The sequence below is a fragment of the Homo sapiens genome, chromosome 13 (assembly GCF_000001405.40).
Source record: "Homo sapiens chromosome 13, GRCh38.p14 Primary Assembly".
Lineage (NCBI taxonomy): Eukaryota > Metazoa > Chordata > Mammalia > Primates > Hominidae > Homo > Homo sapiens.
Genome location: NC_000013.11, coordinates 49,265,542 through 49,291,272, shown reverse-complemented (window position 1 = coordinate 49,291,272; position 25,731 = coordinate 49,265,542). Strand labels below are relative to the sequence as shown.

Sequence of the window (25,731 nt, the reverse complement as noted above, 5' to 3'; positions counted from 1 at the left end):
CTGTTTGAGCCCAGAGAGGCCAAGTCTGCAGTGAGCCATGACTGTGCCACTGCATTCCAGCCTGGGTGACACAGCGAGACCCTGTCTCAAAAAAAAAAAAAACCAAAAACTGAATTCACTCAACAGTGTACGGCAAGTAATTCATAAAACTTTTTGTTTTATGTTTTTGGTGGGGGGACGTCCTATTACTAGACTGGAAGAAATAAAATGTACCTCCTAAGGGAGAAGGGGACTGTGTGTGGGGTAGGGAGAATCTGGGGACTGGAAGGAAGACGGACTTATCTGACTGGGCAGGCTGGGAAAAGAGTATGGCTTCAACCTCTTCCTGGCTTTTGTGTTTAATAGCTTTATTTGTACAATAAATGATACATGTTTAAAGTATGCAATAAACTAAACATAAAGTGTATAGCTTGATGAATTTTTTTAATTTACTTTTTGATTTGTAATATTTGTAGAGATGGGGTTCTCAGTCTGTTACCCAAACTGGTCTTGAACTCTTGGCCTCAAGCAATCCTCCCACCTCAGCCTCCCAAAATGATGGGATCACAGGAAGGAGCCATTTTGCTTAGTCCAGTTTCATGATTTCTGACATAAGTACACATTCATGAAACTATCCCCACAGTCAAGACAATGAACATATCTATCACCTGCAAAAGCTTCTTTCTGCCCCTTTCTTCCCATCTTTTGAGGGATTTCCTGCCCTGAGCCTGTATGTTCTGCCCTGCTGTTTCCTTGTCCTAAGGACACCTGGGCCAGGGCTCAGACTTGCCTTCCAGAGGTAGATCTGGAAAGCCACCCCTCTCTCTTTCTTGTTCTCATCATATCATGTAATATTTGAAACATTCTCTCTCTCTATATATAATGTATTATGTAATATATAATAATACATACATAATACAGATGGGAGTTCTAAAGCCTAACAATAAAATGAACACTCATGAACTTACTGCCCCAAAAGAGTTACAGTTTGTTTAAAACTGAATAAAACTACATTATGTGTGTTGGGGGGAGATGGAAAAAAAACAAAACATACTGCCGAATCCAACAACTAGAACATTATCAATTCCCGTGCGCTCCCTCTCTCGTCCCATCCCCTTTCACCCCACTCAGAGGCAACTCCTATCTTGATTTTTGTGTTTATCAATCGATTGCTTCTTAACAATAACTTTACTGTATATACTATATATTAAAGTATATTTTATTTATTTATTTATATATTTTTTGAGACAGGGTCTGTCTCAGTCTGTTACCCAGGCTGGAGTGCAGTGGTGTGATCTCAGCTCACTGCATCCTCAACCTCCTGGGCTCAGGTGATCCTCCTATGTCAGCCTCTGCGGTAGCTGGGACTACAGGCACAGGCCACCATGCCAAACTAATTTTTTGTATCTTTTGTAGAGATGGAGTTTTGCTGTGATGCCCAGGCTGGTCTTGAACTCCTGGGCTCAAGCAATTGGCCCGCTTCAGTCTCCCAATATGCTGGGATTATAGGTGTGAGCACCATGCCTGGCCTACCACATTTAACCAATATATGGTATGTCTTTTTGAACTTTATACAGAAATGGTATCATAATTCTGTAGTTTGCTTTGTTAAATTCAACATTTATATTTCTAAGATTCATCCATGTTGAAGAATGTAGCTCTAGTTCATTTGTTTTCACTGCTATATGGTAGTCCATTGTGGGAATACACCATAATATTTTTATCTAACCACCCAAAACAAACATTTGTGTTATTTCCAGTTTTTGCTTTTAAAAACAATATAGCAACAAATTCTTTGTCTCTCTGACTCTTATACAATATGCAAGAGTTTCTCTAGGGCATACGCTTATAAAAAATGCTATTTCAGGCCAGGCGTGGTGGCTCATGCCGGTAATCCCAGCACTTTCGGAGGCCAAGGCGGGCAGATCACCTGAGGTCCAGAGTTTGAGACTAGCCTAGCCAACGTGGTGAAACCTCGTCTCTACTAAAAATACAAAATTAGCTGGGCATGGTGGTGCATGCCTGTAATCCCAGATACTTGGGAGGCTAAGGCAGGAGAATCTCTTGAACCTGGGAGGTGGAGGTTGCAGTGAGCCAGGATCACGCCACTGCACTCCAGACTGGGCGACAGAGTGAGACTCCGTCATAAAAAAAAAAAAAAAAAAAAAAAAAAGCAAAAAAAAAGCTACTTCCGTGCAATGTTAATTTGCATTTCTCTGACTACTAATAAGTTTAATCATCTTTTCATGTGTTGATTGGGTGAACTAAGTTCAGTTCACTCACCTTGCAGCAGACCCAGACCTGATCTCAGATCCCAGCTTATATGGACATTTGTCCCCAGGATAGCTCTGGCTATTGTGTTCGCTTACTATTGCTCCTCAGATTCTAGCAAAATGCCTTCTTATCTCTATTTTGTTCTTAGGAGAATATTTCTCTTATTTTCTTGAAAGCTCCATGACTCTTTAAAAAGAATGCTTGTTATGGGTTACCTGGGTTCCATTTGCATGGAGTGGAAGGGCACTTGAGAGTTGTCAGTCACACTGCCTGCCTTCCTTCTCTGTTTGTCCCTGCTACTGGCACTGAGAGAGTATCCAGCAGCAAGTCCCCCTCTGAGTTAGACAGACTGATTTACCCAAAAGTCAAGCCCCAGTCTAACAACAAAGCTGGTGTTGTAACTTTCATCTGTTGATTCTGGTGTCTATTTCTCAACTGAATCAAAAATTGGAAAGGAATTACATACTGTATGATTCCATTTATATGAAATGGCCAGAATAGACTAATCCATAAAAACTGAAAGAGTGGTTGCCTAGGGCTAGGGGGAGTGAAGAATGGGGAGTGACTGCAAATAGGCATGAGACTTCTTTCTCAGATAATGAAAATGTTCTGAAATTATGTTGTAGTGATGCCTGTACAACTTCGTGAATCTACTAAAGAAGCAAATTTATGATAGATGAATTACATATCAGTAAAACTATCATATAATTAAAAAGGAAATGGGGTATTGCTTACTGAGATCAAACACTTGTTCAAAAATGCATAAACATAAACTTAACTGTTCAGTTGAACTGTCACAAAGCAAACATATGTAACCATCATCTGGGTCAATAAATAAAACATTGCCAGCAAACCAGAAGCCTTCCTTTTGTCCCCTCCTTCCAATCTTGGGGCTTTAACCACAGCATGTCTTCCTTTTCCTTAGTAATCTAGGAATAATAAATCCTAGATACAAGCCCTTTGTTGATTATAAGTGGCAAGTATCTTCTCATATTCCATGGCTTGCCTTTGCACTCTTGTAGTGATATCTTTTTTTTTTTTTTTTTTAAGGCAGGGTCTCACTCTGTTGCCAAGGTTGGAGTAGAGTGGTACAAGCATGGATCACTGCAGCCTCAACCTCTTCATGCTTAAGAGATCCTTCCACCTCAGCCTCCTGAGTAGCTGGGACCACAGGCATGTGCCACCACAATTGGCTAATTTTTGTATTTTTTGTAGAGAGAGGGTTTTGCCATGTTGCCTAGCCTGGTTTCAAACTCCTGGGCTCAAGCAATTCACCCACCTCAGCCTTCCAAAGCACTGGGATTACAGGTGTGAGCCACTGCACCTGGCCTAGTAATATATTTTAATGAACAGATATTCTTCATTGTAGCATAGATAAATTAACCTTTTTATGATTCGTGCTTTTTGTATCCTTTCCCTAACATAGGAAATTATTCATTGGCCCCTTCAAACACTGTCATTGAGTGTACATTATTTAATCAGATGTATAGATAGACAGAGAGACAGACCGATAGATAGATAGATAGATAGATAGATAGATAGATAGATAGATACAGCCTTTTTTGCTAATAAATTTTTAAAAAGAAAGATGCAGTGGATATGTACTTTTTTCCAAATTGCAAACAATACATTTTCTATTTGAATCAAATAAAGCTAATTCAGAACACTGAAAATCAATATATTCACAGAAAAATTATTCTAAGACCTTTATACTTCTTGATTTTTCAAGGTTAAAAAATTGTTATTATCAAGAAAACTTACAGAAAACTTCCATTTACTTCAAATCCAAATAATTCGATAATATAGTTACTGTTTTATTTTTATTTTTAGAGACAGAGTTTTGCCCTGTCGCCCAGGCTGGAGTGCAGTGGCGCTATCTCGGCTCACTGCAAACTCCACCTCCTGGATTCAAGTGATTCTCCTGCCTCAAACTCCCAAGTAGCTGGGATTACAGGCATGTGCCATGATACCTGGCTATTTTTTGTATTTTTAGTGGAGACGAGGTTTCACCATGTTGGCCAAGCTGATCTCGAACTCCTGATTTCAAGTGATCCCCCTGCCTTGGCCTCCCAAAGTGCTGGGATTATAGGCGTGAGTGACCACACCTGGCCTATAGTTACTATTTTAGAATAATATTATATAGCACTCATATCTAAAATTATGTGCCTAAAGAATTGTAAGACTTCTCAAAGATTATATTACATTCAAAATATCTGTAGTAGTATACGAATAATAAAGCTTTAAAGACTAGTAATTCATTATGGTAGCTGTGATGATTCTTAGTTAATCAGATTATTCAAGTTACCAGAACATTTCCAATCTGGGCAAATGTGGGTTTACTCTAGAAGAATGTATATATCCTCATCATTTGGTCCCAATCCATCTGTACTAATTATACATATTTTTCCTTTCTCACTCCCCAATAAGCTTTTGTTTTGTTATAGAAGAGCATTGCTGTTTACTGTTTCATATGCATTTAATTTATAAAGTCAATTTGTGCATAATTATTTGTATTAACCTGTAGATTCTATAGGAGTAATTATTAATCGGCACTTTCCATAGCACCTAGCATATGGTAGACCCACAAATATTTATGAACAAATTGAATGGCAAAAATCTAACCTTCAAAAATAATATGCTCCATCTATTAACACAATTTTCATCACCTGATCATTAAAATTCACTGTATATCCTTTCTCCTCAGCAACAAAGTTCACCTCAATACATAAATACTTACTTTCTCTCCTTTCAGGCTCATTTTGTTCAAGACCATAAGCTCCTGATGGATTCAGCTGCCACTGTAAGAGTGCACAAACATTTTACTTGTTTAAAGAGGATTTAATACATAGCATTCCAGCACATTGATTTTAAATATCAAAACAACTTCTTAAAAATGGAAGAAAAATGGCTGGGCATAGTGGGTCACACCTGTAATCCCAGCACTTTGGGAGGCCAAGGTAGGTGGATTACCTGAGTTAAGGAGTTTGAGACCAACCTGGCCAACATGGTGAAACTCCGTCTTTAATAAAAATACAAAAATTAGCTGGGCGTGGTGGCACGCGCCTGTAGTCCTAGCTACTTGGGAGGCTGAGGTAAGAGAATTGCTTGAACCTGGGAGGTGGAGGTTGCAGTGAGCTGAGATGGTGCCACTGCACTTCAGCCTGGGTGACAGAGCAAGCCTCCATCTTGAAAAAAAAAAAAAATTAAAAAAATAGAAGAAAAAGAAGTTAGCATGTTCAAATTAACAAAGCCCTAATAACGCCACACTGAGTGATCCTGAATGATATAACTTCTGGGATCCGAATCAATACTCTTAGAGAAGTTGAAGATTCTTTACATTCATTTTAATTGGAAGTAAGTGGAAGACCAGAGGATTGGAGTGACTTGTCTCAGGTTACACCCTAACTACAGGAGGCAATAGAATTAGAACCCATGCCCAGTACTATGGAATTAACATCGCATTGTATTCTATCTCCAGGTCCTAGAGAATCTTATAATAGCTAGAAAAGGCCTAGGTATTAAAGAATGAAAATATGACCAAGATAGGCCATGCACAGTGGCTCACGCCTGTAATCCCAGCACTTTGGGAGGCTGAGGTGGGTGGATCACGAGGTCAGATAGAGACCATCCTGGCTAACAAGGTGAAACCCCGTCTCTACTAAAAATACAAAAAATTAGCTGGGCGTGGTGGCCGGTGCCTGTAGTCCCAGCTACTCGAGAGGCTGAGGCAGGAGAATGGCGAGAACCCGGGAGGTGGAGCTTGCAGTGAGCCGAGATTGCACCACTGCACTCCAGCCTGGAAGACAGAGCAAGACTCTGTCTCACAAAAAAAAAAAAGAAAAAAGAAAAAAAAAAGAAAAGAAAAAGAAAATATGACCAAGATTACCTTGCCTTTTAATGTTGTTATATCATAAACTATTACCTGCATCATATCATTTTATATCATATCATATATCTCCTCTGATTACTGTATTTCATCTCAACCATTCAGGAATAAATAGGGAAGCCTGAAGATTCACAGATATTACATAGAATATTGGGGCAGGAGAAAATAAAAATGGAGAGTAATCGGTATCTTATAGCACAGCCCTTCTTTTCTCAGCTGGATAGAATCTCTATCAGAATCACTAATGACTTAACCAAAAGGCCCTGCTAGGGCACCATCTCAGGACACAAATATGGATTACCCGGGAGCCTCTTCCATAAGCATCAGTTCACTCATCAGATTAACTAGTTAACATCACGAGCCTTGAGGGGGGATGAGATACAGGACAAACATTTTACCATGTATTAAAAGTCCCTGGAAAGGGAGGACATCTAGAAATGGTTGGTTATTTAAACGAATGGGATGGTTTAGGCTAGCACCAAGAAAGAGAGAAGACTTAGAAAGGGTAGGAAGCTACATGAGAAATTACCAAAAAAATGTTTAAAATTAGGCATTTTTTGAAAGACGTCAAACCACTAAAACCTATTAATTTGGGCAGACAAAGTAAAAACAAGTAATCCTGAATTTATGTTTAAGGACATTCATAAAAAGGCTTCTTATAACTGTAAAAACTTAGAAACAATCCAGGTGTCCAACAACATGGGAATGGTTAAATAAGTTAGGCCTATGGGTTGGAATATTGTGTTAAATTATTTAAAATATTTTTTAAAGAACTTTTAGTGGCAGAAAATACAGCAACATGTTAATTGTGGTATCTATGAGTTGTGAGATAATACACGTTCTTTTTTATTTTCCTAGTCTTCTACAATGAGCATATACTACTTTCATAATAAAAATAAGTAATATAACCTAATAGAGAAAAATCCACACATATTAAAGAGAAAACAAAGAACTGAGTATGTGGACATGGATATAGATTGATAAAATCTATTCTTGGAAACAGTGTTGCCCAGTCCTAGCCTGGTTTGTGACAACACCACAGAATAGAACTACTTATCTCAAGGTCTATGGTAACTTATCAAAAAGGAAAGCAAAAAATCTTTCAAAGTAATTTCAATTTGCTTTAATCTTAAAAACAAATACCAAATTTATTGACACACACTATTTTTGATAATCTTGGTACTGAAATTCAGATTTAGAACAAATTCTAGTTCATGTTAATTACTTGCATTTACAAAACTAGGTATCTAGCTAACCATCTACATAATATTTGCAGCCAGGCCAGATGAGAAGGATGAGAAGATGGACAGCTCATCTTCACTGGAGGTAGAACAGAGAACAACCATGAACAACAGCCTTTGGAACATGTGCCTGAGTGAGGGTATTTCCGGGAGGGTCTGGCCCAACTGGGTGCTTCCTTTCCCATCTCTGCCCCTGAAGATCCCCTTAGTCTTCCTGCCTCCTTCTGCTTCTCTTGCCCTTTCTTAAGTTCTTCTGATCTCTTCATTCTCTTTACAATTGAAAAGCTATTAAAATCTACCAGTAAGCAAGATATTTCAGAATTCTCCATAACCCATCACTCATAGTCCTTAATCTTTATGATTAAGTCACTTAATCTTTATGAGGAGAACTTGAAAAACCTATTTATTCACACTCTTCAGGAGGAATGAAGAGACAGAAAACAAAAACACGGAAGTAGAGATTTCTCTGACTAGTTGGATATAAGCTTTTATTGAGTTTTACAAAAAAGGTATCTTTCCCATCTCTGCCTTCTTTCAGTGCCATGTCAACACCCCCTCATTTAAAAATGTGATAAACTTTAAATAAGACAATTAGAAAAAAATGACAATATTACAAATGGTAAAAACTTATGATACTTCATATACACATGACAGACACTGGATAGTATGTTTCTATATTTAAAATTATATACATATATAATTATATGTTATATGTCCAAGTTAATCATATATATGTATGTTCCAGGTATCCTGGACTCAAACTGATGTATATGGCAGGAATGTAAAGCTGAAATATATAAACGGTTCTTTTATATCATTTTTCTTCCCACTGCAAATTCTAGTAGTTAAATGTTACATTAACTCATTCAATGCCAGGATTAAATCATTGGATGTCATAGAAACAATGTATGATTCTGGACAGGATCCTTTTGCTATATAAAAGCAGTCCCCAACCTTTGTGGCACCAGGGACCAGGTACCGGTTTCATGGAAGTTTTTCCACAGACCAGATGGTGAGGAATGGGGGATCATCAGGCTTTAGATTCTCATAAGGAGTGCACAACCTAGATCCCTTGCATGGGCAGTTCACAATAGGGTTCACACTCACATGAGAATCTAATGCCGCTGCTGATCTGGCCGGAGGCAGAGCTTAAGCAGTAATGTGAGCAATGGGGAGTGACCATAAATACAGAAGAAGCTTCTTAACTGGTACCCAGGGGTTGGGGAAACCTGCTATATAAGACATTTCTTGGGCAGCTAATGAACCTTGACTGGAATCTGTGGATTAGTGGCAGTAATGTATCAATGTTAATTTCCTGATTTTTATGGTTGTAATTATGTGGTTATTTCTCATTTGAGGAAATAAAGGGTGAGCTGGTATCATGTCAACAACTTCTGGGAAAAAATTTCTTTGTAGTGTTTTTATAACTTTTCTGTATGCTTAAGGTTTTTTCCAAATAAAAAGCTTTTTGAAAACCAAAATAGGCTGAGAACAGTGGCTCATGCTTGTCCCAGCACTTTGGGAGGCTGAGGCAGGCAGATCGCTTGAGCCCAGGAGACAGAGATTGCCAAGATGGCGCCACTGCACTCCAGCCTGGGTGAGATAGTGAGACCCTGTCTCAAAACAAAAACAAAAGCAAAAAAAAAAAAAAAAAAACCCACAAAAACCAGAACCCAAATAGTGAAGAGGTATAAAGACTTAAAAGTTCTTGTGTTTTCCATGAACTACCTCAGTACATTTTTGGAACTATCAAATAAGAAATTCTTTTTTTCCCGGGCCAGTCGTGGTGGCTCATGCCTATAATCCCAGCACTTTGGGTGGCCGAGGCCGGTGTATCACCTGAGGTCAGGAGTTCAAGAGCAGCCTGGCCAACATGGTGAAACCCCGTCTCTATTATTAAAAATACAAAAGATTAGCTGGGCATGGTGGCGTGCGCCTGTAATCCCAGATACTGGGGGGTGGGGGGAGGGGGGTGGGGGTAGCAAGGCAGGAGAATCGCTGGAACCCGGGAGGCTGAGTTTGCAGTGAGCCGAGATCACGCCATTGCACTCCAGCCTGGGCAATGAGTGAAACTCCATCTCAAAATAAATATATAAATAAATAAACAAATATTCTTGTTTTCCTGATTTTTCTCATGAGAAATGTGTGTGTTTGTGTGTGTGCACCTCCCTTTGTTTGGGGGTGGGGGTGACCTTTAAACTATTGCAGGGGATCCCAAACCTTTGGCAGCAACCAGTACTGGTCCGTGGCCTGTTAGGAACTGGGCCGCACGGCAGCAAGTGAGTGCAGGCGAGCGAGCATTACCGCCTGAGCTCCACCTCCTGTCAGATGAGCGGTGGAATTAGATTCTCATAGGAGCAGAACCCTACTGTGAACTGCACACCTGAGGGATCTAGGCTGCGTGCTCCTTATGAGAATCTATTGCCTGATGATCTGAGGTGGAATAGTTTCATCCCAAAACCATAACCCCATCTGTGGAAAAATTGTCTTCCACAAAACCGGTCACTGGTGCCGAAAAGGGTGGGGACTGCTGAAGTATTTTCACCTCTATCCACCTCTCTAAGCCAGAAAGGAGAGGGAAGAGATGGGTCAGAGATTTTTCTTTTATCAGCCACCAGATGGCACCAAAAGATCCACTGGCTCAATTCTCTACAGAGATGTAAATTCATAAGGCAGGAATCCTTAGCTGAACAGTTGCAGTTAGGTAAGGGTTTGCACATATAAATAAACTCAATAATAATAATAATTTGTTGAAACTCGGCCGGGCGCGGTGGCTTACGCCTGTAATCCCAGCACTTTGGGAGACGGAGGCGGGCGGATCACCTGAGCTCAGGAGTTTGAGACCAGCCCGGACAACATGGCGAAACCCCGTCTCTACTAAAAATACAAAAATTAGCCAGGCGTGGTGGCCGGCGCCTGTAATCCCAGCTACTCGGGGGGCTGAGACAGGAGAATCACTTGAACCCAGGAGGCGGAGTCTGCAGTGAGCCGAGATCGAGCCACTGGCACTCCAGCCTAGGCAACAGAGAGAGACTCTGTCTCAAATAATAATAATAAAATAATAATAATAATAATAATAATAATAATTTGTTGAAACTCTTTAAAAGGGTGGGAATCACTAACTTACAATATTGCAGCAGGGTACCTAACAACATAATACAAAATACACCTGAAAAAAATGTGTATCTACTTACCGTAAATTTGCTAACACCTTCAAGCTCCCCGAACCTCATGTAAGAGATGTCTGCCTTCTTTTTTCCAACATCTACATCTCCTGCATAGATTTGTTTTATGCCTGCACCTTTAATTAAAGGTACACACTCATCACATGGGCACTTTGTCACAAAAATCATGCTTCTTTCTTCTGGTTTTATTTCTTGACACCTACAAAAAAAATTATAAAATATCAGAAAGGTCGTTTCTGAAAGGGTAAGTTATTTTTTAGAAAAATCTTTAAACACTAAAATTGAGCTGTTTTAAAAACAGATTTATGACATTATTAATAATGATCATCAAGCCTTAGACTTGCTGAATTACTGAATGTTCAAAGTATGTAAACCCACAAAAGTGTTATGATACAACCTGAACATGACAATTATTATAACTAAAAATAATTTATTGATTCTAAGTAAGAGGTTCAGTTTCAGATTACAAAATAAATGAAATCAGGAAGATACAGACACCAAAGAAAGAGAGAAAAAACCCCCAATGCTTTCTAAATAAGTACCTGTTTAGAATACTGGAATTAGATTTGAAACTGATACCTTAAGAGCTAATCATGTCTGATTAGACACTAACTCATCTTGTTAGACAAATGACACAGCCCTATCTGGTACCTAGTGGATAGTCAATAAATGTTTACTAAATGAATAATCAAATACTTAAGTTCTGTTTTGACTTATAGTTCCCTTACCCCTTCCCTATCATAGGATAATTTTAAAAAGAAAAGTTTCTATTTGATATATTCACACCTCTGTACAAAATGAAGCAAGTAAATCTGTAATGAAGAGGACAAGGAAAAGAATAGAGGGAATTTTGGGTGAAATTTTGCATGCTGAGGGTAGTTTAGGACTAACAACTGGGGCTGCAAGGACTGACTTCCGGGTTCTGAGGCTTACGTAGCTCTCAGCCAGCCATCTTCAATTCCTCCACCGCCAGCCTTCCACATCCATCTTCCTTGTTGAGACTGTTATTTACGTTCACCTGGACTAGGGCAACAGAATTCTATGCATCTAGTCTGTTCAAACAATACTACCTACATAATCTATAGCGTATGGCTCTGTCAATGCCATTCCATTTCCCCGCTGCCTACCAAATGGAGCATAAACTCAAAGTCCTCTCGAGTCCAGTCCCAGCCTGTCCTTGTGAGCTGTCTTTCCCTTGTGTCCACATTCCAACCTAACTGGAATATTCATGCTCCTAAACACACCACGGATTTTCCTACTTCTAGACCGTTGCTTATGCTAGAAGCAAGAATGGTCTTCCCTTCCCTTCCAATTGCCCCAGTCTAGGAATCCTTTAAAGCTCAGTTCAGATGCCAGTTCTTCCCTAAAGCCTTTCCCTTGCACTCTCCCATTTGTCCATAGCAGCTCCAGAATGTCCGCAGCACTTTACATTTGCCCCTCCCACAGAATCCACAGCACGAGGTGGATGCCGTCTCATATCCCCTATTGCATTAGAAGCTCTCCAAGGACAGGAGTCATGTCTTACACAGTTTTTTAATCCCTTAACCTTAATGGTAAAGGCTGAGAAGTGTTTGTGAAAATGATGTAAATTAACAGGTATAATCACTAACAAAAGCTCTTTTGAAGCAATTTGGTTCATTATAAATCCCTATTCTGAATACTGCAGGCCATTGTAACACAATGGTAAGTATTTGCGTATCTGAACATAAAAAAGGTAACGTGTGATGTTACAATGGCTACTTCACTCAGGAATTTTTCAGCTCTGTTATAATCTTATGGGAACACGTTGTGCATGTAGTCCATCGTTGCTCAAAATGTCTTTCTGTGGCGTGTAACTGTATTAATAAATGCGTGCTCCAGATTTAGAAAACAAAGGAGCCTTAACATCCAGAAATATGAGAGGCTGAGCAAGATCCCAAAGGATAAACTTAAAGCAGTTTCATATTGGAGAGAGGCAAGGGAAAAAAAGACATGCTCAACAAATTGGGAAGACCTGAAGAGGCGATGACCTCAGGTCAGGTCATAGCTTCAGGTCTGGCAGTGAGGACCAAGCTTTACCAAAGTTATACTTCTGAAAGGAAACTTTCTTGGAATTTGAAAAAGGAAATAAATTACAATTATAAGAAAATTAATTTCAACCAACCCTTGCTACATTTTAAAGAAAAGTACACCAAGAAGGATTTCATACCTAAATGTCAAGGCATTCTGTTCCGCATGTATGATGTATCTGAATTTCCTTATTTCTCTGTCTTTCTGCTTGTCATCCATGTGTGGGAAGTCAGCATACTCAGATCCAACAGGAAAAGCATTGTAACCACATCCTACAAAGTACATGGCACCTGTTCCATCACAACTTCTCTACGAGAGTGAGCAAACCAATGGTTAGTTTCAACATTCTGAAAAGACACTTTGCAATGTATTTTTGAAGCTTGCTATCATACTTTGTATAATGAATATTCATTCAATTTTCTACAGTAAACTGAGCTATCAAAAAATATAATACCAGATACTCCTACTGCAGTGTGATCTTGTCAAAGCTAAATTCCAAGAAGGCCAACCACCTCTCTAATCTATAATCTCAAGGAAGTCCTTGTTTTTTGCAATTAATTAAATACTATCTTACTTAACTAACAAATTATTTCACTTGATTCAGATATTACTTCCCAAATAAATTATAGATCCTGGAGAGCAGAAACCATGTTATATATTTCTTTTCCATCCCTTCAACATGTTCGAGTATTCTGTACATAGCAGGTACTCAACAAGTGATTGTTAATTTCTTATGTGCTCTGTGCCATGCTACTGGTTAGCAAGTCAAAAACTTTTAAATACTTTAAACAGAAAATTTCTGTTGGGCTAAAAATGTGCTATTGTGATTTAGTTGGAAAATAAAAAATGCATTTTCATCTTCAGTATTTATTAAGCCTCTATTATATGCATATTATTATAGAACTTCTTACTTCAATGGCTCTTATTTCTCTTTTAAAGAGAAATAGTAGTTAATATGAATGCTTTATCAATTATTAGAATGAAATATTAGTAATGTGTGTGTAATAGTTTTTTGGAATATGCTATAAAACTCATTAAATTTCAATATATTATAATTACTCATGATAATATCAACAGACTCATTACTGTAGCAGCTTCATAAAAATCATGTAATAGTGAGCCAACAAAAGCCTGCAAACAAAATATTATCTCATTAATAAATCTGTTTGAACATTTACTAAATGTCAAACATCATGCTGAGTTATTTATTTATTTATTTATTTAGAGACAGGGTCTCACTCTGTCACCCAGGTTTGACTTCCTGGGCTCAAGTCATCCTCCCATCTCAGCCTCCCAAGTAGCTGGGACCACAGGCGTATGTCACTATGCCTGGCTAATTTTTTCTTTTTTTGTAGCAACGGGGTCTCACCATGATGCCCAGGATTGTCTTGGACTCCTGGGCTCAAGGAATCCTCCCACCCCCGCCTCCCAAAGTGCTGGATTACAGGCATGAGCCACTGCACCCAGCCATACTGAGTTTTACATGGATCATTTCATTTGATCAATTCTTGAAACAACCTAAAGAGTGATACTATTAATATTACTGTTTTACAGATAAGGAAACTGAGGACAAGAGTGATTAATTGTCTAGGGTCACAAAATGAGTAAGTAACATAGCCAGAATTCAAGCCCAGATTACTTGACTCTAAGCCATGTGTCTTTCCATTTCACCGTGCTGCCTGCTGGCCTACTCTAGAGATAACTAGAAACTGACATTCTCCACAAAATCATTAACAACCAGATGTTAAGCCAAAAGTCTGCTGAGCATTCATGTACACACAAATGAGAGTTCCAACCACCAGTTAGACCTATGCTAGGTGCTGGAATACAACTGTAAACAAGACAGAGAGTCCCTACCCTCATGAGCCTTCTAGTCTGGGGAGGGTAAGAAATTGAACAGATAACTTTAACTGTGATGAATGTCACAGACAAGTTGTACAGAGTGCTGAGGAATTTCTGGCAGAGGAGCCTAGTATTCTAGTAGGAGTTAACAGTTGGGGTACAGGTAAGTAGAGTCAAGAGGTATTTTGAAGGTGGAATCCATTGTGCTAGGTGATTGTATGTGTACAGTAACAGACAAGATGGTGACCACTGATGAGGGAGGAGGTTAGCAGGGAAGATACTGGATGAGTGAACTTGAGGAGTTTGTGAAACATCAAAGCAAATTGTCAGATTACTTTCTGTGAAGTCCCTGAGGCAAAATGTAGGCTCACCTTTCAGTCAGCTATATAGTTACTAAATATCTCTTGATTCTAGCCTCCTAACCCATCCCCACATCTCCAAGTCCTCATCTCTTTTTATTAATCTCCTTATTTTCTGTCTAGCCCTACCTCATTCTATTTATAATGCAAATCTGATCAAATCATTTCCCCACTTAGAACATTCTTGGAATGCACTGTCCCATACAGTCGCCACTAGCCACATGTGGTTAGTCTAGATTGAGAGGTGCTGCAGGTGTAAAATACACATAGAATTTTGAAGATTTAATATTTTTTAAATGCAGAATATTTCATCAATAATTTTTTATTGATTACATGATTAAATATTTTCTTAAAATTAATTTATCTGTCTTCCTTTTAAAAACATGGCTCCAGCTGGTTGCAGTGGTTCACACCTGTAATCCCAGCACTTTGGGAGGCCAAGGCAGGTGGATCACGAAGTCAAGAGATTGAGACCATTCTGGACAACATGGTGAAACCCCATCTCTACTAAAAACACAAAAATTAGCTGGGTGTGGTGGCACACACCTGTAGTCCCAGCTACTGGGGAGGCTGAGACAGGAGAATTGCTTGAACCCAGGAGGCAGAGGTTGCAGTGAGCTCAGACTGCACCACTGCACTCCAGCCTGGCAACAGAGTGAGACTCTCTCTCTCTCTCTCTCTCTCTCTCTCTCTCTCTCTCTCTCTCTCTCTCTCTCTCTCTCTCTCTCTCTATATATATATATATATATATATATATATATATATATAACACCTAGAAAATTTAAAATTCAGTTTGAGCCTTGCCTTTTCTCTCTACTGGTTAGTGCTGTGCTATAGTATGTCACTGCCAGGATAAAGTCCAAAATCTTTACATGGAATATAGAGTTCTTCATGGTCCCGTCCACTTTGTTGCTTACTCTATGTGCCAAATCAAATGCGTTTTCCCATATTCTCTCTCTCACCCCAGTCTCTGTGTGTTATTCTCCTGGTCCCATTAACTTGCTCTGCCTGATGATATCCTCCTAATCTTCAAGAATTTTAACATTATTAATATTAATATTAAGAATATTCAGGGCAGGCATGGTGGCTCACACCTGTGATCCCAGCACTTTGGGAGGCAGAAGAGGGTGGACTGCTTGAGGCCAGGAGTTCAAGACCAGCCTGGTCAACATGGCAAAATCCCATCTCTACTAAAAATACAAAAATGAGCCAGGTGTGGTGGTACATGCCTATAGTCCCAGCTATTCAAGAGGCTGAGGCATGAGAATCACTTGAATCCAGGAGGCAGAGGTTGCAGTGAGCCAAGATTGCACCACTGCACTCCAGCCTGGGTGACAGAGGGGGACTCTGTCTCAAAAAAAAAAAAAAAAGAATGTTCACCAAGAATATTCATGTTATCCTCCTGGTCCTATTGACTTGCTCTGTCTGAAGAAATTATCTTATTCTTCAAGAATATTATATTAGTAACATTAATAATATTCACCAACAGTATTTACTTATTTTTCCAAGCAAAGGTTCCTCCTCTATGTTCTCATGATATCAGTTATAATTACACTTACATATCAGTTATATTTTACTTCTACATCTCCATCACTAAACTATGAGGCCATAAAATGTGATCTTTAATCCCCAGCATTCACTGTGGCACAGTGCCTAACCTGTAGAGAGTGTTTAACAAATGTTTGCTGAATGAATGCGTCTATCTAGAAAACTGTTGAGGGATGAGCAAATCTTTATAGATCTTCATAAATGCACCATTACAAAAATATTAATATTTTTTTTTTTTTGAGACGGAGTCTCGCTCTGTCACCCAGGCTGGAGTGCAGTGGCACGATCTCTGCTCACAGCAAGCTCGGCCTCCCGGGTTCACACCATTCTCCTGTCTCAGCCTCCCGAGTAGCTGGGACTACAGGCACCCGCCACCACGCCCAGCTAATTTTTGTATTTTTTTTTTTTTTAGTAGAGATGGGGTTTCATTGTGTTAGCCAGGATGGTCTCAATCTCCTGACCTTGTGATCTGCCCGCCTTGGCAGTCAGTAACCTGTAATGCACCGAAGACTGAACTATGTTTAAACAAAATCCAGGTTAAATATTTAAAGAATTGTTTTCATACTTACAGATTTCCCTTCTGCCCAAATGACTGCCCCAACTCCTGTTTTATGATCCTCTGAAAGATATATGGCATTTAACTCAGTAAAAATTATGATATGTTAGTTTTAGAAATATATTTTTCCAAAAGTAATAAAAACTTGTATTGAAACATACTTCATAAATGTAGCAGCAATCCTTGTATCTTCACTAATTACAGAAAAGTATTAAAATAAACACTTTTAAGTATGGAATATGGGAGCTAGGTACCAAATAACTAGAGAGAGTCACTACCAACTCAGTCACACATACGTATGTGGAGGCCACTAAATGGCAGTGTCCACAGTCAGGTCCCTCAAAGCTGTAGCCAGAACTAAGTGCAACTTCATTGATTCTCCATTAACAAGCCGGTTTCTAAACAACTACTTCTGATAGGTGATAAAATTTAATAAAGGTTTCAGAACTAATGGATTTTGTGTAATAACTGTTCACAACAACCAAATTTGTCTTTTCCCAGCATTATTTATACTCTAATCATGGAAAATATATCTTATGAAAATGTTCTTGCTAAGAAAAAAGTTCAAACTTCTCATACGAACATAAACAAATCTTTATGGATCTATCTATCTATTGCTAGAAAGTACATGAAGAGAATTCTGATTTAAACAAAATGTTGTCCTTTCTTTGACCTTCAGTTTACCTTGAGGGAAAAAGAATGCAAGTTAATGACATCTTGCCCATTTCTAAATCAAATAGCAGAAGTTATAAACAAACATAAGATTATAATTTCCCTGTAGAACCAAAACCTTTGCAAAAGTAAAGCTGTACTTCTTAAAACCATTAATCTGAAACAGAAAATTAAAAAACAAAATAGAAATTCTACATATTAAGGATTTACTTTTTCCTTCTATACAATGTTGAGTTTCAAATTTCTAAGACAAATTACACTAATTATGAAAACCATAGTATTTATCAAAATCTTAATAAGGGACTAAGGTAGTTAAGTGGCACATTTACACGTAGAAAATAACAATTATCTGTGAACTTACCCTAAGGCATTTTCATTTTGGGGAGGATTAACTGAAACCGTGGTTTCACCCTACAATTTCCTAAAAGTGAATCCCTCCAATGATAACATTTTTAAATACCTACTTTCCAGTAAAGGTACAAAGAAAATTTGTGCCACAATTGCATTAAAAACTAGAATGAATGTCTTATTAAGAGGTTAACTTTAAAACAGTTATGATACTCTAATAAAATTTCCCATCTCAAATTCAAGCAAACCCTGGTTTTCAAAATTATACCACAAAGCATTTGTATAATTTATGTTAAACATGTTTATTCATGATCTCATTTTTACCCTAAAGGTAAAGCAGATAAAATTTCCATTTCTAGATGCAGAAACAGGCAAAGAAATAGACTAAAACTTAGCCCTCCAGATCCAACCTGCTTGGCCTTTCCTCCACCTTGCACCGTGACATAAAGAATTCCTTGACACAGCCTGGCCAACATGGTGAAACCCCGTCTCTACTAAAAATACAAAAATTAGCCAGGTGTGGTGGTGCATGCCTGTAATCCCAGCTACCTGGGAGGCTGAGGCAGGAGAATTGCTTAAACCTGGGAGGCGGAGGTTGCAGTGAGTTGAGATCGTACCACTTCACTCCAGCCTGGGGGACAGAGCAGAACTCCATCTCAAAAAAAAAAAAAAAAAAGAAAAAGAAATCCTTGACAAAAATTTCCATTTATTGAATGCCTCTTATGTTCCAAGTACTGTGAGAACTGAGGATGCAGTGGTGAGGGAAACTGTAGTCCCTTCCTCATACGACTTACAGTTGGATGGTGAAGGAGAACAGCAACAAGGAAACAAACAGTACTTTATGTGCTGTGCTCTGAAGGAAATAAATGAGGCTGAACAGCAGAGTGCACGAGATGACTTCCTTCTACAGAGTAGAGGGAAAAGGGATTTTGGTGTAAACAAAATTGGGTTCCTTCCTAGACCTTTAGAGTTTAACATGAGTGGGCAAGAATACAAATCAATGGCTTTATGCTCATTTCTAAGGTAAGTGGCAGAAGTTATAAACATAAGATTATATTTGCCTGCAAAACCAAAATCTTTAAAGTTTTATTTAATTTATGCATAAATCTAAAATGAAAAAATAAAAAACCAGAATAAAAATTCTCCATATTAAAAGCCCCCTTTTCTACCATCAACACTGCATATTTTTAATGTTATGTTTCTTAGTCACAGAAGCCACTTTTTCTGTTTCAGCCTGGGGACAGACTAAACCTTGTTAGGAGGAAAAAAAAAATGTGATTTTTCCATCAGCATGCAGCTCTGCTGCCTAGCTAAGGTTGGTTACATCAAGAGAATATTCTTTACTACTTGTCTTTTAAAATAGGAATAAATTTTCATCCATATAAAACAGATTTGATGTCACTCAGCATCAAGGCTGGTGACAGATGAGGTAATTTCTCAAAAATCTTTTCATGTCTATAATTTTTACAGAAATTGCTCCCTATGATCTGGTCATTCACAGGGTTTTCTCTGTACAACTTTGAAGGAAAGGTCAACTTACAATCATTGAGTCAAATTCCTGGGGCTCTTTGATCACTGAAAATCAGAGGGGAACTTTTTGTTCTAGAACACAGGTGTGGTTATTTTAGCTCCCAATCCTGTGGTCATGTCAGTGTCCAAGGTGCTCCACAGTCCTCTTGCATCAAAATTACTGGATGCTTGTTTTTAAAATTTAAAAAAAAAAAAAAAGAGGCAACTCCTGGCTTCCATGGAAGTCCCCTAAATCAACCTCTCTGAGAGAGGCAGGCAAGGCTTAGGAATCTGCATTACTCCTGAGCTCCCCCTTGATTCTCAGGCATACTCATATCTGAGAACCACTGAGTTCTGTTTTAAAAGTTAACTTTCTTGATTACTCCAGCCTACTCTCATTATCAGTACTGTGGCCCAGGAGGAAGGCATAATCCTTAGCTTTGGAAAACACCTAATCTGATGAGAAAGCAAGACACGAAGAGATCACAACTCAGTACTTAAAGCAGATAGATAAGATTTTTGATGCCTTCCTCCTGCTCTTTTTTCCCCAAGAGTCTAAACACTTTTTTTTTCCACTTTTTTGCTACCTTCGGGTATTCTAGAAACATACTTTTGGAACTCCTGGCCTCAAGCAGTCCTCCTGCCTCAGTCTCCCAGTGCTGGTATTACAGGCGGGAGCCACCGCACCTGGCTAGTAACATACTTTTCATGACATCTCTATGGATCCTCTTTATTCATCATTCAAAAAGCAATTATAAGCAACTACTTTCAATTCATTTTAGAACTCTGTTGTTAGAGGTTTTGGAATTCATTTTAATCATATGTACATTTTTAAATGAAATGGTATCTTCATCTATTAATTAGGGAGAAATGAGGTCATCAAACCAAACTGAATAATGTGAAATTAAAAGCTTAATTGGAAGCGCACTGTATCATAGGGATATCCACCTTACTGAAGTACCCTCAATGTTAAATGAGATACATATATAAATCACCAAGCTCAGTGCTTGACACATAGTAGGTGTTCCATAAACTGTCATTGTTATTATTTATCATTAAGGAAGAATTACAGGTCCAGAGTCCCTGATCTGAAATCTTTTACATCCAGTTTTTTTGAAGTTTGATGCACTTATTTTGCGGCCAAATCTGACCCAAATTGAGTTATTTATAGCCCTCAATTATTCTTAGTGCAAATATTCCTACTTTTTTCACTCTGTATGTATTAATGTGATTACAGGGTACTGTCCCAGATGCCACTGGGAGTCCTATATAACAGTATATGTACCATATTACCTTTTTAAAATCTGGATTGGGCATGATGGCTCATGCCTGTAATCCCAGCACTTTGGGAGGCTGAGGCAGGAAGATTGCTTAAGCCAAGGAGTTCGAGACCAGCTTGGGCAACACAGTGAGACATATCTACAAAAAATTAAAAATTGGCTGGACATGGTGGTGGTTCACCTGTAGTACAAGCTACTCAGGAGGTCGATGTGGGAGGATTGCTTGAGGCTGAGAGGTTGAGGGCTGCAGTGAGCCATGAGTGCCACTGCACTCAGCCTGGGCAACAGAGTAAAACCCTGTCTCAAAAAAAATAAAATAAAATCGGAAAAATTCTGAATTCCTTTACATTTGGCTCCAAAAGTTTTGCATAAGGGATTGTGGACCCTTTATCTTTGGATAAAAAGATTTGTTTTATCCATTCAACGCACATTGTGTTTAGTGCTAAGGAAAAAATGATTAAGACATGGTTTCTTCCCTGGAAGAGTGCACAGTGGAGTAGAGTGAGTGACAGAGGAGTTGCACCCTATTCAGGATTTGAGTTCCATGTAAAAAAAAAATCACCAACAATTAACCTTGAAAAATCTTTTAAATTGACCATCAAATGCGTAAGCAGGGCTTTATGTACAAAATTCTGCACAATAGTGGATATACTTATAACTATACAGTAGTGTAGAGTATCTAATAAACAATATAAATGCAAATGTATACATACTGCGTCTTTAAACACTGGAATCACAGCTGGTATGATAAGGTGTTCTATGAGAAGCAAGAGGTACTAAGATCCAGTAAAATAGCAGATTCACATCGCCCTCTTACTCTGGAACACAGGCAGGGTTCTGCTGAATTCTAATTAGTGAAGGGTAATTAGTGAATTATAGCTACAACAGCTGTTCCCATTTATGTTTTCTATCTTTTTGAATGGTTTACAGAAAAATTCTTTACAAAGCTGGAGTTGGCAAAGAAACAAATATATAACCCACAATAGAATATAATTACATGAAACCAGACTTTTACACAATGCAATTGTTTGGGGTCATATAATGTGTGCCTACAGAATCAAAATCTTTAAGAAGAATTGAGCAATTATTAACTCTGCGAACATCAGAACACCTTGTGGAACTTTTAAAAACATAGAACTTGGCCATATTTTGTTAGGGACTTGGTTTAATAGGTCTGGGTTGGGGTTTGTACTTTTTATAAAAGTAAAAAGTATAGCATCTGTACTTTTTATAAAAGTAAAAAGTATAGCATCTGTACTTTTTATAAAAGTAAAAAGTATAGCATCTGTACTTTTTATAAAAGTTTCAATGGCGATTCTATTTGCTGCCAGCTGAGAACCTCCCTTCTGTTGACTACTGCAGACCAGCAGCATCTGTAGAGACCTTTTCTGATGACTTTCTCTTCTTTCTTGGGATAATTTTTAAATCCTACTACAGTACACTCCCCAAACAAATCTTACTCTACTGCTCCTCCTGTCTATGTTTTTTCCCCTTTATCACAAAGATGCATTTTAAAAAGTGATCATGATTCTACTTTGAGAAATCTTACATCAGGTAAGATGTGATAATATTGTTCCATGTTTGGAAATACAGATGCCATCTTTTATCATAACAAAGAAAAATCCCAAGTAATATTTTCCTTTTCCAAATATACAACTTAATACAATACAGTAAAAATGTTTCTCAACTTGCTGATTGAAGACATACCAGCAACTGGAAGAATCTGCAATAATCACCATTCCTTTACCTTGATTCTATTAGTTATTTTGAATTAATGTTATTGTAAAGATTTTTTAAAAATTGTTAAATATTCAGTACATCAAAATATTGAAGAGTTAACAAAAATGAATAATTTTGGTTTTCTCCTTTTTCTTTTTTTGGAGATAGAGTCTTGCTGTGTCTCTGGAGCTGGAGTACAGTGGTGCTATTGTAGCTCACTGCAGCCCCAAACTACTGGGCTCAAGCAATCTTCCTGCTTTAGCCTCCCAAGTAGCCGGGACTATAGGCACGCACCACCAGACACCACCATGCCCAGCTAATTTTTTTGTTAGAGTCGAGGTCTTGCTATGTTGCCCACGCTGGTCTTGAACTCCTGAGCTCAAGCGATCCTCCTGTCTCAGCCTTCTAAAGTGTTGCAATTACAGGCATGAACCACTGCACTGGGCCTCTCCTTTCTCTTCTTGTCCTACCTTTAGTGGAGGGCTCAAGGAACAGTGAAATCATAAAAGCAAGAAGCAGAAAGAAGGGCCTAGATTAATGAGGGCCTGATGTAGAAATGTGGTACTGAATATAAGGCTACAAGGAATCCCAAAACTGCTGGGAGAAAGAGTTGTCTACTCAAGGGTCTCACTAACTTCTCTATATTGTATGAACAGCAAAACTTAAGTAACTATGAGTAAATGAACTCTACCATAAATGAGACGAACACTTCAGAGACAAATACAACCCAACCAATCAGCCCCAATTTACGATCTATGTAACTCACCAGTTCGATATGCCAATAACCTGGCCTGAACCATGCAGTGCCTTGCAATTTCCTGTGGCAAACTTTGATTGTGAATTTCATTAATCTGTTCTGGATTGCTACGGTAAAATCCGAAGTGTTTAAAGTTCGGCACACTGGAAGCTACTGTGGCCAAAAGTAGGATAAGGTCTTTCATGTTTTGCCTTAGATTGCTAAAGTATGGATTTTCACACAGGTTCTCCAAACCTATAGTCATCAGTATTTGCTTATGCATTTCTTCATTTGAAACCAAAAATAACATTTCATATTCTTTTATTCTTTCTTGTTTACATTCATAATAAAAGTCAGTGTTAGCATCCGGCAATGTTTTTGTAATTTTTTGAATAAAGTCACATTTGTAAGAGGTCTCCTCTACAAACTGCACCATATAACACACCAAAGGTTGAAGTAAGACACACACATGGGCCCGACTGTTTGACTTCAATCTTTCCACTGCTTTGGCATCTAACTTTGCATCTTCAGAACTAGAAGCCTCCGTAAGCAAACTTATTTCTGGATCAGCAGGCCAGTATGAAATTCGGTTAACTCCAGCTGAAATACAAAATACGAAAGGTAATTATGAGATACATGCTGAATTTAGGGTTTTCATTATAAAATCCACCCTATCATTGCAGTATATCTAGAACCCTCAATATAATAAATGTCTATTACCAAGTCACCTATTATATAGCCTGAGGGTTGGCAAACTACCACCCACAGGCCAAATCCAGTCCACTGCCAGTCTTTGTACAGCTCACAGGTTAAGAATGGGTTTTACATTTTAAAATAGTTGGACAAATCAAAAGAACATTTTGTGACACATCGAACTGTCAGAAATTCAAATTTCAGTATCCATAAATAAACCTTTATTGAAACACAGACACACCCATTCACTTATATAGTCTTTGGGTGCTTTCGTGTGGCAGAGTTGAGTAGCTGTGACAGACACCACACGGCCTGCAAAGTCTAAAATATTTATTATCTGGCCTTTTCAAGAAAAAGTTACCCAGCCTCTCACAGAGCCTCTAGGAATGCATTTGTGGAGTTACTGGTGTTGTGAAGTGTGATCCCAAAGCCCAGCGCTAAAACTATATACTCGAAGAGTCCTCCATGGTGCCATGGCTGTTTTTTAAAATCTTACAGGGAACAACTAATATTGCCTAGTTTTCTATCTGGAATAAATACCTCTTCCATGCATTAAAAATGTTCCTCTCCACAGACTGAGAATTCTTCTGAGAATCCATTCTAGGAAAATATTCTAAATACAGAGAAGAAATCTCATGCATGCACATTTAGTGCAGCATTCTTTAAAATAGCAAGCAAAGACGTTAAACAAACAAAAAACCCAAACCCAAAAACCTAAATGACCAAAATAGGGGAATGGTTGAATTAATTATGGTCCTCCTCATAATAAAACAGTTATCAAATATGTCCACAAAGAATTTATAACATGAAAAAATTCTTATGTGATGTTGGGATGGTGTCTGAAGGGCAATATTAACTTTTTAAAGCTTACAAAATTAAAGACAAAACAACAAACTAAATAGATCATTTTTCAATCAGTGTGACAGAGGAAAGGTTAGTAATGTTTAATATACAGAAAATATTTCAATTCATTAGAGCACATATGAATTGACAAGAATAAGGCCTAAAGAGAGACAAAAAGATACGAACAGACAATTTGTAAAAGAGAAAACATAACAGGATAACAAATGTGAAAAAATATTTTAATTTGTATTTGAAATTGAACGATGAGATGCCTTATACATAGTTAAGTACACAAATGTTCGTCAATTAATGAACAGTTTATAACAAAGAGACCCCTTTGCTAGTACTGCATGTAATTTCAGCTAGGAGAGATTTTTTTTTTGTGATTGTACCCAGAAGCAAATAGAAAGAGAGCCCACAGAGTGTTCTACCCTTCAAAATAATTGATGAACTAAAAAGTCTCAGTTAAACAAATAAACATTCTATCCACTCCCTGGTACTCCTGACTCACTGTGGCTTATGCTGCAAAGCAATTTTGAAGGCCTCAAACCTCATATCAGAGTGTTTCCTCCGGTTGCATTTCACCTTCCCTCTGTTCGAGTTCTCATAATCCATTTCCTAACCAGCAGTGATGGTAAACCTTTCATCTAGGCATCTTAGCTGCTTCCAGTAATCCTGATTCAAGAGGGGAAAAATCCTCTTTAGACAGACATTTGTGTATTAGTGGCAAATGCTAAAGCAGAGTTTCTCAAATTTTTTGATCTCAGGATTCCTTAACACTCTTAAAAATTATTGAGGACTCCAAAAAGCTTTTATTTATGTGGAATATATCTACTGATATTTACTGTACTTGAAAATTAAAACAAAATTTAAAATATTTATTAATTCATTAAAAATAACAATAATCTGTTATACATTAATATAAATAACATTAGCTTTATGAAAAAAACTATTTTCCAAAACAAAAATTTGTAAGAATGAGATTGTTTTAAATTTTTACAAATATCTTTAA

General features: G+C 38.1%; 1 protein-coding gene across 9 annotated transcripts in view; it reads right to left on the bottom strand.

The window, feature by feature from the left end:
• CDADC1 (cytidine and dCMP deaminase domain containing 1) overlaps nucleotides 1-25,731 on the bottom strand; it is a 45,561-nt gene that overhangs the window by 2,213 nt on the left and 17,617 nt on the right. For 7 of the 9 annotated variants that reach the window (NR_036439.2, NM_030911.4, NM_001193478.2 and 4 more), the window contains 5 exons: nucleotides 23,214-23,783; nucleotides 16,933-16,982; nucleotides 12,754-12,923; nucleotides 10,575-10,764; nucleotides 4,991-5,051 (listed from right to left, as the gene is read on the bottom strand). Coding sequence is in view for 8 of the 9 variants with exons in the window: in NM_030911.4 (NP_112173.1) it covers nucleotides 4,991-5,051; nucleotides 10,575-10,764; nucleotides 12,754-12,923; nucleotides 16,933-16,982; nucleotides 23,214-23,783 (1,041 nt within the window). In the remaining variant the exon portion in view is untranslated. Of the gene's footprint in view, nucleotides 1-4,990; nucleotides 5,052-10,574; nucleotides 10,765-12,753; nucleotides 12,924-16,932; nucleotides 16,983-23,213; nucleotides 23,784-24,416; nucleotides 24,490-25,230; nucleotides 25,395-25,731 lie in introns of those variants that run through there. The other 2 variants (XM_006719871.4, XM_047430690.1) reach the window with 2 other exon arrangements.